The 12,986-nt window shown below is 58.0% G+C and overlaps 1 non-coding gene across 1 annotated transcript, besides 3 other annotated features; it reads right to left on the reverse strand.

Moving 5' to 3' along the window:
* Nucleotides 1-1,070: 1,070 nt before the first annotated feature.
* On the reverse strand, nucleotides 1,071-1,142 carry MIR1302-7 (microRNA 1302-7). The gene has a single exon (NR_031636.1). It is a non-coding gene; the product is annotated as a microRNA 1302-7 (primary transcript).
* Nucleotides 1,451-2,068: an enhancer, noted in NCBI's record as "H3K4me1 hESC enhancer chr8:142867983-142868600 (GRCh37/hg19 assembly coordinates)". NCBI's record gives its function as "activates a minimal SCP1, AML or CMV promoter by ChIP-STARR-seq in naive H9 embryonic stem cells {active_cell/tissue: H9 hESC(naive)}" and the evidence as "EXISTENCE:reporter gene assay evidence [ECO:0000049][PMID:30033119]".
* Nucleotides 2,069-2,684: an enhancer, noted in NCBI's record as "H3K4me1 hESC enhancer chr8:142868601-142869216 (GRCh37/hg19 assembly coordinates)". NCBI's record gives its function as "activates a minimal SCP1, AML or CMV promoter by ChIP-STARR-seq in naive H9 embryonic stem cells {active_cell/tissue: H9 hESC(naive)}" and the evidence as "EXISTENCE:reporter gene assay evidence [ECO:0000049][PMID:30033119]".
* Nucleotides 3,917-4,533: an enhancer, noted in NCBI's record as "H3K4me1 hESC enhancer chr8:142870449-142871065 (GRCh37/hg19 assembly coordinates)". NCBI's record gives its function as "activates a minimal SCP1, AML or CMV promoter by ChIP-STARR-seq in naive H9 embryonic stem cells {active_cell/tissue: H9 hESC(naive)}" and the evidence as "EXISTENCE:reporter gene assay evidence [ECO:0000049][PMID:30033119]".

The following is a 12,986-nucleotide window of genomic DNA, read 5'->3' on the forward strand; positions in this document are numbered from 1 at the left end:
TGCACAGTCAACTACTCAAGTGCGACTCACACTTGGGCATTAAATTGAAGATGATATGGGCAGTTGCGAACATTCTCCTTTTACTCCTCACTAATGGAAATGCTTCTAAAGTTTCATCAGTAAGCGTGGGGCTTCCTGTAGGTTAAGCCAGAAATTCTAAGCACCGTCGTCACCGCTGTCAACATCGTGAAAATGCTTTCTAAGTATCCATGTGGCCTGGACTCCTAGGGCTCTGAGCCTTCTTGCATGAAGCCCACCCAAGCAGGAGACTGCAGCCCAGGCCCAGGGGTACAGAAGGGATGGGCAAGGGGGCTTAAAAGATGAGGCTAAACCCAGAGGGGTGAGTGTGGCACAACCTGGGGGTGAGTGTGGCAGAGAGGGAAGGCCTGTGTCCACGGGGAGAGGGCAGAGGGTGGAGACCTGCCCGTGCTGGCACATGAGGAGAGAGGAGGGCAGTGAACAGCATAAATCTGGGGCTAAGTCTGCCTCCTGCCTCTGCTACTAACAGTCAGCCTCACACAAGTTACTTGGCCTCCTCAGGCCTCCGTTTCCTCCTGCGTAAAATGGGGCACGCAGCAGCTCCTTCCCAGCATCCTTCGAGGACTGAGTTAAGTGCTGTGAGCAGAGCCTGGTGCAGGGTGTGGGCCGGGCCGGGTGCTGCTGCTGCTGCTGCCGCTGCCGACTCAGTTGCTGCGGGTGGCAGGTGTGGCTGTGATTGGTGTTGAGGTAAACGCGGCTGCAGCACCGTCCATCCTGTATGCCCCGGTTGACCCAGTCTAAGGCATTCAGGCCCTGCCACAGGTCCCAGATGTGTCAGGACATTGGTAGAGGAGAGCTGGGAGGACTCCAGGGCTGTGCCTGCCCTCCTGGCATGCTGAGCACCAGCGCAGAGCCCCGGACCTGACAGCGCTGCTGATGGACATGGCTGGGGGCCAGCCTGCCTGGGTTCGATCTGAGTCACTGAGCCATCCGTTCCAGGATTCCACAGATGGTGAGGAAAGAGGCCTTCGGGGTAGGGTTTCCACATGAAAACAGGAGGCCCAGCTAAATTTTAATCTCAGCTAAATAGTGAACACTAATTTTTTTAGCATAAGTATGTCCCAATTATTGCACCAGACATACATGTCCTAAAAACATGTTGTTTATATGGAATTCAAGTTTGGATGAATTGAAATGTACCTACGTTTAGCTGGTGCTCAATATCTTTTAGTTACTAAATATGGGGCCCTATTTGGGGGAAGAGCATGGACAGGACCTAGAGAGGGTCTGTGGTCTGCTAAGGTTGGAAACAGGGCTGCAGGTGGGGAAATCAAGGCAGACCCTCTGGAAGGGGAACGGGTCTAGCCACGAGGTACCAGCATAACTACGAGGTGGGGGGCACGTATTATGGGGAGGCTTCAGGGTGTGGGGCCTGGGCCTGCATCCTGTCACCCTATTGACCCTAAGGCCTTGGAAAATCACTCTCTCGGCCTCCCTTTCCTCAGCTGTAAATAACGGGGCTCATCCTCGTGCCCCTCGCACTCAGGGCTGCGTCTGAGGTGGACCCCACAGGGGAAGAGTCTGTAGCAGGAGGCGGAGTGATGGATGCCAATGTCCAGACAGACAGGATGGGAGCTCAGAGAAAGAAGTCTGCCTGCTGGGTGGATGTGAGGGCTTCCAGGGGGTGGTGACCTGGAGCTGGGCCCGGCAGGCTGAGCCAAGCTTTCTAAGCAGAAGCCCCCGAGAGCAGCACCAGGCGGTGTTAGGTTCAGATGGCCCCTCCTGGTCCCTCCTGTCACCCTGCCCAGCAGGGAACACGGTTGTCCCCCCAGCTCCCACAATGGCTGCTGATGTGCTGGAATCATCGAACACCACGATTTTTTAGCTCCTCTGCGTGAGTGGCTTTGGCCTGGGGGCAGGGGCTCAGCTAAGGGGGAGGGCAGGGGAGAGACGGACGCCGATCAGCAGCCACAGGGCTGCCCTCCTCCCCTGCAAGTGCCCAGGGCTTGGAACCATCCAAGAGCTTCCTGCGGCTACCCCCTCTGATCTGTGAGTGTCCTGGCTTTGCCAACAGCCAGTGGCCCTCCCGAGAGCTGGTAAGGACTAGAAAGAAAGCCACAGAGCCCTAGGCCTGCTCGGCCCCTCATCATTTAGCACTGGGCTCATTCTGCGGCCGCCTGAAGGGCCTGCAAGCCCAGGGAAGCTGGTCCCATCCTCCAGGACGGCTTCTCCTCCGTGAGCTCTGCGGGCGCGGGTGCTGCCACAGCTGCTGGGGACTCGCTGCTTTGAATCATCCTGGCTGGAGGGGAGGAAGCAGCCTCCTCAGAGCTGGGGCTGGCGACAGATTTCTCCTAATTGGCTTCTGAGCTTAGAGACTGACTCTCACAGCAGCGGTGACCGGTGACCGTGAGTCAGATGGGCAGAGAACAGAGAGGGAGGGAGGGAGGCATCCAGCAGTGCCAGAGAGGGGCTTGCAGCACTCAGGCCACCCTCGCTGCTGCAATGGGAGCCAGCAGGGCAAGGTCACAGGCGAGTAGGTGACGGCATGGAGCCAGAGGCTGGGCCAGCTGCAGCGCCGGCCAAGAGGAGTGGGGCCAGCCCTGATCTGGAGCCCTAGAGCGAGGTCAGGCTTCTGGGCCAGTCCTGTCCTTACGCCATGACCAAGTCCTGATATCCCGTGGCTCCGACCCTTGCTCCCACCACGTGGGCTGATCGTGAGATGTTTCTCGGTCACCTGCCTGGGATCCTTGACCTTGACGTAGGTAAATGAAGACCAAGTCTTACATCTCAGCTTTGCATCATCCCTGCCTCCTCGAGAGCCCAGCTCCTTGGAGGTCCATGTGCTCCCTGCCCCAATCCACTAACCCTCTGCTCCATGCATTTGTGGGGGCCGTCAGACACTCCGTGCTGATGGGACATTCTAGAAAAAGCCCCTCCAACACTGTTTCCTGATGCTCACCAGCCGTCTGCTTCCTCCACCCGCATCCCCAGAAAGGAGGCGACTGGTGTGGGGTTCCAGCCCCACAGACCTCAGGGCCAGGCTGTACTGAGACATGCTTTCTGGCAGAGCATAGGGTCCTGACCCAGGTTGCAGGCCGAGGTTTCCATGGTGAAGCACATGGCCCGGCCTCCTTCCTTCCCTGCTCAGCTCTCCTCTCCCTGTCTGCAGGGGCTGCTCCCCGCTTCCTCCCTTCCCTTCTTCTCCTCTTCCCCTCTCCCCTCCGTGCTCCACGCCCACAGAAGTTGCTTGACACACAGTCAAGGTCTAACGACGCTGACTCAGCCCCGCTGGCCCAGCCACCCCCTCCCCAGCATGGCGCAGCTCATTTCAGCCCCATGCCCCTGGGAGGCTGACTCACACGACTTCACTCACCCATAATGGGCTTGTGATGGTCGACGGGCCTGGCAGGGAAACAGGCCCTGTGTTCCTGAGATGACACGCAAATGCCTCCTGCGCGAGGACAGATGTTTGTCATTAGCCAAGATGGGACTGCACGCTACCCTCCTGCACAGCTGGACAGTGTGGTCCAGCGGCCTCGGTGAGGTCGGGTGTCAGGCTGTTGTCTCGGGTGTGACCCGCTCTGAGGCTTCTCCAGGGATCAGAGGGCAAGGGCTGAATGCCAGGAAGTGCAGGGCAGGCATGGCCAGGGCAGAGGTGCCCTCTGCTGTGCCCTCCTCTTCCTACATCCAAATCCTTCCCTTCCTGGGGCTTTGACCTCCTCCTGCAGGCCTGACCTCCTCATCCTGGGACCTGTGGAGAGGGCAGTGTGGCATTTGAAGTGCTTTTCAAGGATCTTTTGGTTTCAAGGGACAGAAACCCATCTCAACTGGCTCAAGCAAAAGAGGGAAGTCCCGGGCACCCCAACATTATCGTCGCTGCCTTCTGTCTCTTCTTTCATCTTCCCTTTGAGAGGCCGCCATTCTCTGGCAGGCTGGGCCACACCTGGCTTATACCCAAGGATATAGCCAGCACAAGGCGAAGAGGTTTCCTCTCCCCTGACACTTCCAGGGAAAGTCCCCAAATGGAGTCCCATGATCACCTCCAAACCAATCACTGAGTCCAGAGGAGAGGCTCTGCTGACGGGCCAGGCAGGGCTGCGTGCTCATGCACAGGTGGGGCCTGGGGGCATGGCAACATTATACACCACCACGGGGACGGAGCCGGGAAGAGAAGGCTCCCCCAGGAAGTGCTGGGTGCCACCCCAGAGGGGGATGGAGGCTGGGCATGCAAGAGGCCGAGACCTCTACTGCCCAGCTCCTATCTGGCTCTGACTTCAGTTAGCTGCCCTGAGCCCCCTCCTTGTGTCTCTGTGCCCTCCTTTCAGAAATGGAGCTCAGGCCAGGCTTTCCTCGCCATGTTATCAAGAACACAAATGAAAATATGTGCAACATGTGCCTTGCAGGCTGTAGCATGCAGATGTTACACGTGCCTTGCACACTCTAGCATGTAGACGTTACATGCGCCTTGCAGGCTCTCGAATGCAGATGTTACATGCGCCTTGCACGCTCTAGCATGCAGACCTTGTAATAAGATCGGGGTAAGCAATGACAGGAAGAGCAGTAATTCTAGGTGTCCTATGGTGATTCTGAAATGTAAAATCGTGTTAATTTGGCAAAGACAATTGAAACCTAGAATATCATCCGTGGATGGAAAGTCACTCCCCCACACACAGCATACAGGAACTGGGAGAGTGTGGGGGTGGGAATGAGCGCTCTCCCTTCCCTGGTGTGGAAGAGGGAGGCAGAGGTTCAGAGAAGTCCTGAGTGGGTCTGACTGTCCCCAGGCCACCCTGCTCCACCTGCCGCTGCCGCCCCGCTGGCTGGGCCCCTGCTGAGCTTGAGGCCTGGTTTCAGCAAGCTGCCTCGCATGCACTTCATCCTTACTCGTTCAGTCTGCACATCAAGCCTGTCGGGTGCGTATGAATGTCAGCCCACTTTACAGACGTGGAAACTGTTTTGCTGCGCCAGCCACTTCTAGAGGGTACCTTCCTCAGCGGGACCACTGCGGTCACCGGCCACATGGTCAGCTTTAGGCACCACTGTCAGAGGCTGTTAGAATAGGCACAGCTGGGTCTGTGACCCAGGAGCTGTGTAACCTTGCCTAAGTTACCTGACCTCTCTGAATGTCAAGTTCCGATCAGTAGAGGGCGAGTGATGCAGCTGGCATCTCAGGCCCCCTATGGGTGCTGTGGGAACAGCCAGCAAGACTGCCTGCCAATGAGAGATGGTGGTGGAGTGGGATGAGGCCCCACAACTCCACGCTGTCTAGGTGGGGGGGTGCAGAGGGCTGGGAAGCACTGGAGGGTCCCAGGGCAGGGGTAGCCACACTCATGCAGGGCTGCCAGGAGGAGGCTGCTGGGGGGACAGGCTGAGGGGACAAGCCAAGGGGACAGGCCAAGTGGACAGGCTGAGTGGATAGGCTGAGGGGACAGACCTGGTGGACAGGCGGGGTGGACAGGCCAAAAGGACAGGCTGAGGGTACAGGCCAATGAGACAGGCCTGGTGGACAGGCTGAGGGGCCAGGCTGAGGGGACAGACATGGTGGACAGGCTGGGTGGGCAGGCCGAGTGGACAGGCTGAGGGGACAGGCCAGGTGGACAGGCCAAGGGAACAGGCAAGGGGACAGGCCAGGTGACAGGCTGAGTGGACAGGCCGAGGGGACAGGCCGAGGGGCAGGCAAGGGGACATGCCGAAGGGAGAGGCTGACAGGACATGACAGGTGGTCAGGCCGAGGGGACAGGCTGACAAGACAGGCCAAGGGGACAGGCTGAGGGGATAGGCCAGGTGGTCAGGCCGAATGGACAGGTTGGGTTGTCAGGCTGAGAGGACAGGCTTGGTGGACAGGCCGAGAAGACAGGCAGACGGGACAGGCCTAGGGGTCAGGCCATCTCAGGGAGTGGTGGCGGGGATATTTGTGCAAACGCTCAGAGGCCAAGAAACTCACTGGTGGGTGGTGGGAGCTAGAGAGCCACCTGGCATGGCTGGGGCATGAGGCTCAAGGAGGGTGCAGGAGGTGGGCCATTAGATTCTGGCCACAGGGTGGGAGCCATCTATGCCAAGGGCAGTAGTGAAGATTGGATGTGTGAGTCACTGGGGGCCCATAAGGGGCTTAACTTGGGAAGCGCATAGCCAGGTGGGTGTGTTAGGGACAGCAGGGACTGGCAGGGTACTGGGAGGGGGTGTGCCTTGAGGCGGGGCGACAGAGAGGCTGTGGCTATGTCCAGAATGGGGCCAGCACCACAGCAGAGGCCTTGGGGGTGGAGGCAGGGATGCACTGGGTGGGATCCCAGGAAAGGACTTCCCAATGCTGCACCTGTAGTCTGTCCCGGTTCTGTAAATGTAGTGGGGAGTCCCAAGGACGAGTGCTCTATCCAGGCTTGTGCCTCTGCTGGGGGCTGGGGATATGGGTTGGGGCTGTGGTGGGGACATCTCAGTGGGTGAGCCTAGAAAGAAAAGGGCTGCAGGAGGGACTCACACAGAGGAGCCCACAGAACCTGTCCCCCTGGGGGCCTTCGGGGCCCAGAGGTCCCTGCCTAGCCAAGTTATTAACAGCATTGGTGGCTGTGGGTGGCATGGCCTGGGCAGGGTCCCCTCTGACTCATGCTGTGCCCTGAGAGGGTTCCCTTTCTGAAGAGCCCACAGGTGGGCAGGCAGGCTGGCTCCCTGGACAGCCTCGGAAGGGGTGGGCTCCACTCACTCTGCCCTGCTCCCCTCGGCCACCCGGAAAGGCATCCAGGCCTGTGATTCTGGTCCTGAGGCATCACCAGCCTGGTGTGTGTGTTCCTGTGGGAATGAAGAAGGCAGGCGCCCGGAGCCCAGCACATCTGCTGTGGGGGGGACCTCCCTGTCCCCTGATGAGCTGGGCACAGGGGGAACCCAGGTTCTGCTCAGTCCTCCCACCTGGCCTCCGGTGCCATCCACACTGCCCCTCTGCCTCCTCCCCGGCTGCATGGACTGCACCTTGCCTGAGTGGTCTCCAGAGGTACCTCAAACCCTCTCTGCATCTACTGCACCCTGCCACCCTCCTCGGCATTCTGTCTGGAGCAGAGCTGCTGCCTCACAGTCCTGGGAAGGATTCACAGGCCTGATGGGCCCATTTCACAGATGAAGACACTGAGACTCAGATGGGTGGGTGCCAGGGTGGCCTGAGGTCCCTTAGCTCATGAGGGCCCTGGCTTGGGCTCCAGGGTGCCATCCTTCCCAAACCCGTGGTCCACTATGGGGTGTGTGGTGCTTGTGGGGCAGGGCCGGGCTGTGAGACCAGACCGGCACATGGAGTCACGTTCTCACCCTGTGCTCCATGGAGCCCCCAGGGCCACAGTGGGCCGGGTGTGGGTGGTGTCAGGCCTGTGGGATGGTGGAGGCCAGTGGGACCCAGAATCCCATCCCCACAGCCCCTTCTGATTCGTGGGTGGTCCTGGGCTTCCTTGGAACAAAGGATTCCAGGCTCAGACACATCTGAAAGCCAGAGTAGGGTCTCCCGGGACCTCCTAGAGGGCAGTCTGTTTGTGGGGGCTCAGAAGGCTGGGCGTGAGCCCTGGTGGGATCTGAAAGCATCACCTCCAGCAGAGCGAGAGTGCCTGTCCCACACTGGGACTGCCTGGACTTGGGATCTGAAGCTGGGAGAGGGAAGCATTTGAGACCACCAAGACCAGCATGCCAGCTGTAAGCTCTGCTCCACTGCGAGAGGCAGGGGAGCCTGCAAGACACACTGGCTCCCGGAGAGGTTTCTGTACTGAGCAAGAGGCTTGGGCTGCAGGCTCCTCTCCCTCTGATGCCCCCCAGATGATACGGTTTCTGCAGCTCACTGGTGTTTCAAATTCTGAGGTTTAATAAGCTAAGATGCCAGGCTTCTAAGACAGTGTCAAAGATAAGATTTACCTATTTCACCCTAAACTTAATCAGAATAAAATTTGAGGTGATTTCTAAGAGTCTAAGCTTCTAAAAGGACGCATCCTTAAAATTCTAACACCCTAAGCTGATTTGTGGAGAAGATTGGATGATTCCATGCTTCTGAAAGCCTATGCTTCTGAGAGTCTGTGCTTTTAAGAGTCCAATATTCTCTAATTCTGTGTCTTCCATGAGGCCCGAGTGGCCAAGCATGGCTTAGGCGCTGAATGGCGACAATGCCCCCGCTGATGGGAGCTGCTGCTAATCTTCCCTTTGAGGGGCTTTGATGAGCTCTGGAGGCAGACGGGCGGCGTCTGAGCACAGCTGCTTCCATCAGAGGGGAATTTTGCTGAGCATCGGGGATTCGGAGGCTCAGGAGAGGAGCTAATAGCAGCTGCTTCTGGAGGGCGATTAGAATCTGGGGAGGAGAGAAGGCGTTAATAAAGCCAAGTGTAAAGCGCAAGGAGACACAGCCCCCAGAAAAATTAGCCACTGAAAAAGCCTCTGTGCCATATGAGTGCACAACACATTCCCCTCATTCCTACGAGGGTCCCTGCCATCTCCCTCCCAGGCCACTTGCCCCTGAGACCCCTCCTGCAGAGTTAAATCCCATGTCCCCATAATGATTATCCTTTAGACTGGCAGACTGACACCTCTGGGAAGCCTTCGGCAGAGGGACAGCTTGGGGAAGAGTGCCCCTGCAAAAACTCTCCCTCTCCAGCCAGCAGTGCCTTGGGTCAGGACTTGGGAGATGAGCCTCTGTGTGTCCCAGGAGGGTCAAGTGTGGGTGTGAGAGGACTGAGGGAGGGACAGAGTTAGGGGCTTCCAGATATGGCTCAGCAATGTTTCTCCAGGCTGGGGTTCAGTGCCAACATCTCTCTTTTCATGCATGCTTTCACTTATTCATTCTTGCACTCATTCATTCATGCATTCATTCAACACCAGTGCTGGGCCAGGAACTGTGCCAGGATATCGAGATCAAGATGCCAGCAACATACCTCACAGTGCTCAGAATGTCAGCGTGTCCCAGGTGTGGTGCAGGCAGAGAGCAGGAGATGGTTCTGTTTTGCCGAAGGACCTGTGGACCCTGAAGCCTGGGCTGGAACACACTGCAAGGTCACACTGGCTGGGGGGCATCTCTGTATCCTGAGGCACCATTGCAGCCCGGAGCCTTTCCACCAAGAGTCTCATGAGGGTAGGAAGCAATGAGTGGGCTGTCCTGGCTTGCCTGCTGGCCAGGCTTCCCGCCCCATTGGTCCCTCCTCTCCCAGCTGCAGCCTCTGCCCGGGGCCTTACCCAGGAGAGATTTAAGGACTTGAAGCATGCCCTGTGGACTCCTCAAGATCAAGGATCACGCTCCAGCATCATTCCTGGCCCTAGTAAATGTTGGAGGGTGTGAGACAGCTCCTTCCTGCCCTGTGGCCCTGGGCTTCACTGCTGCTGATGGGACTTTGGCCTTGCTCCCTGTGAGGCCCACAGACCCCAGTCTCTGCTGTGGTTTGGATGTGGTTTGCCCCCACGAGACCCAGGCCGAAGTTTAGTTGCCCATGGCAGTGTTGGGAGGAGAGGCCTAGCAGGAAGTGATGGGGTCATGGGGGTGGATGCCTCCTGAATGGACTGGTGCCATCTGGGGCGTAAGCTCTCACTCTCAGGATGGGGCGAGTTCCTTCTTGTGTTTGGTGCCTTTGCACACCACATTCCTTCCACTTTCCCTCATAAGTTGAAGAGCACCAAGCCCTCAAGGACGAGTTGCCTGGTCTTGGACTTCACAGCCTCCAGAATCATGGGCCAAATAAACTTTTCTGTATCAATTACACAGCCTTAGGTATTTTGTTACAGCAAAACACTAAATAGACTAAGACAGCTTCCCTCTGCCAACTTGGCCCTGGCCTTGTGACTCTGTGGGGTCTAGGTGGCACCTGGTGTGTGAATACCTCTACCTTGCTGGGCCCCCCTGAGCCTTTGCTGCCATGATGTACCCACAGCCCAAACCCTGCTGGCTTGGACCTGGCCTGCTGGTCACCATGTCCCTTGGGTCTGGCATCTTCTTCTCCCTAATGGGCATTCCCCCAGCCTCTGAGGCTTCATCAGATGATTTTCCAGAGTTGGGTGAGCCCTGGCCAGCTTCCCACCTGTATCTAGAAAGGTGGGAGGCTCCCTGCCCTTGGGCCTTCACCCACCAGAGAACAAAACTCTTGAGTCTGCCCTGGCCTTTGTCCCCTCCCCTTCCCTCCTGTCTCTTCTATCGTGAGGTCAAATGGCTGGGTGAGGTGCAGATGGGGTAGGCCACTTATTCAGGGACTATGTGGTCCTAGGGGTATAGGCACCTGGTCCTCAGACCCTCAGCATGGGAGGGGTGGTGGAAACCATCTGGCCAGGCTGTTTACCCGACAAAGGAGTTGGCTTTTTACCATGACAGGCCTGCTGGCTGGCTTACTGTAACTTCTGATGGGGCCAGGAGTTCAACCTGCAGGACTGTCCTTTCCAGGGTGAAGAGCCTTGGCCCGAGGGAAGTCTGGAGCATATGACACTGGCCTCCGCTACTGGCCTGATGCTGCCCGAGAGGGAGACGATGATGAGTGGCAGGTGTCACATGGGGTTGTGGTGCAGTAGGGCACACAGCAACCCTACAGCTCATAACCAAAGCAATGGCTCTGTCCTTGGCAGCACTCAGTCCTAGAAGCCTGGCCAGTCCTCTCAGCAGCACACTGGCAAGGGCAAAGGGTGCGTGCTCTGAGCAATGTGAGCAGAGAGGGAGAGGGTTCAAGTGCCCCATCCTAACCCTGCAGGCCTGGGGTGGGGGCGTTGACGAGAGGGATGGCTTAGGTTTGCTGACTCCAGCATCGGAGAAGCATCCAAGCCTTTGGTCATCATCCTATCTCCCATCCAGGACAGGACAAAGGAGAAATCAGTGCCTCCGTGGAGCTTGAGCTCACCTCTGAGGGCACTGGGGATTGGGGCCAGAGCCCCCATCTTTCTGCCCAAACAGTTCCAGAGGCAGGGACTCCTTCCAGATGTGAAATGTGCTGCCCAGGTGGACGGATTCCCCGCATGTTGCTTGCATCTTGTTCCACAGAGCAGGCTGTCCCTTCTTGAACAAAAGAGCCCTTCAGAGGCTGGAGAGGAGCCTCAGACCCCTCAGCCCCACCCTCTCCACGCCTCCCTCCTCCAGGTGACAGGTTTTGAGTAGAGTGTGGGTAGCTGGAGCTGGGGGAGCGGCTGCTTAAGATGCACTCTGGGCACTGGGCTTTCTAATTCCCTCTCTGAGGCCTGTGCGGCCGAGATTGAAGAGCAGGTGTTTCCAATTAAATGGGGCCTTTCAATCTCTCCCTGGGCTGCGACTCCGTGCAGGCTCATTCATTGGCCCTGAACTCGGCTGTATGCAGAATTTCTCTGGGCGGGTGGCTTCAGCAGGCTGAGGCTGCAGAATCCTGAATTTCAAAGGCAGTTCTGCCCTCTTCTCCACAGCCCCAGTGTGAGCATGCCCAGCTGGTCCAGTGTGCAGGAAATCTCCTTCCCCAGGGTTACCCGGTGGGTCTTGGTACAGGTCACCCTGACAGGTCTGAGATGCCAGGGAATCCAGTGGCACAGGGAATCACTGCCAGCGGCTCTCAGAGGGCTCATGCTTTATGGCTACATCTGGCCCCGAGAAATGGGCTCTGGAGGAGGGGAGCAGGCAGCAGGCAGGCCCTGCAGCAGCAGGGGAGCAGCCTGGTGAATTTACAGCCCTTGCAGTCTGGGTTTCCCAGCTCAGCTGTCAGGGCCTGTCAGACTTAGCACCTTTCAGAATGGGAGGCGGGAGGAGGGGTGCACACAGCAGAAGGCTGGCTGGTGCCCTGCCAGAAGCCGGGACTGCAGACACAGAGGCACAGAGTCCATAATGAAGGTCATCAGGAGGTTTTAGGATTTATTTGGCATTCCTGTGCCAGGTACTGAAATACAATAGCACATGTGGAAGGAGTGTGTCTGGGGGCCTGACCAGGGCAAGGCTCAGTAGCCACTGATGCTCGAGCTTGCCTCACAGCTTAGTATCGTGATTAGGATTGGCCTCAGGACCAGCGTGGAGATGCTAGAGCTGGACAGTCTTGCTCCCGTTTCACAGGAGAGGGTGGTGGGGGTGCGGGTGGGGTTGGCACACTTGTGCTTTCTCAAGGTCACGTTGTGGATGCTGTAAAACCAGGGTATGGGGGAGACTGTCTTTGGCCCTGGAAAGGCTGGGACCTGCCCATGGGCGAGGTCCCATGTGGCCACTGGGGACTATTGGTTCCTACCCCACCGTCCCTCTGCTGGGTTCCCCACCCTGCAGACGTGGGCTCAGCCCCTCAGCATCATGCCCAGGTATTCAGTCAATCCTGTGATTATCACTGGGCTCTGTGGTTGGCAGAGAGAGGGAGGTCATTCTGCCTCCCTGCCCCCCCAGTGGAGGTGGGAGCGAGCTGACCGTGGCCCACAGTGGAGAGCAGCTGCAGCGGGGCACACTACTGTCTGGATGGCCAGATCTGGGAGGCTTCTCAGGAGGAGTATTTTAAAGGGCTCTTGAGGAGTGGGTAGAAATTCCATGACCCAAGGAAGGGAAGGGGGTTCCTGTGGGAAGGCAGGGGAGGCAGGGGAGCCCTGGAGAGACGAGGCGGGGCAGGTGGGAGGGAGCTAGAGTGCGGGTCCTCACACACTGTGCTCAGTGAGCACAGGGCAGTGAGACTCCATTCAACCTCCGGGGTGGGTGCCTAAGGGCCACAAGGTCAAAGGTGAGCTTGCATCTGTCTCCAGGCAGCCCTGGGGGCTTGGGCGGCAGGAAGGCGGGAGGTCAATACAATAGCCCTGGTGGGACCCGGGAGGTGTCCTTGAAGGTTATCTGGGAGCCAGAATGAGGAGACTTGGCCCAGGGCCTCTGTAGCCCACCCCGAGCAGCTGATGGGGAGGGGAGTGAGGAGGCAGCTGTGGTTCTCACCCTTCACCGTGGCTGGAGGGTCTGGGTGGGAAGGGGGTGCAGGGAACAGGCATATTACACTCTGAATGCGGAGCGGGAAACATGGAAGGATTCATTGTCGGGAGACTGGGGAGGGATGGGCTCTGCTGGTGAAGGGCTTTGAATGCGCACTGGAGAGTTTTGGTTTTAT

The sequence above is a fragment of the Homo sapiens genome, chromosome 8, assembly GCF_000001405.40.
Source record: "Homo sapiens chromosome 8, GRCh38.p14 Primary Assembly".
Classification (NCBI taxonomy): domain Eukaryota; kingdom Metazoa; phylum Chordata; class Mammalia; order Primates; family Hominidae; genus Homo; species Homo sapiens.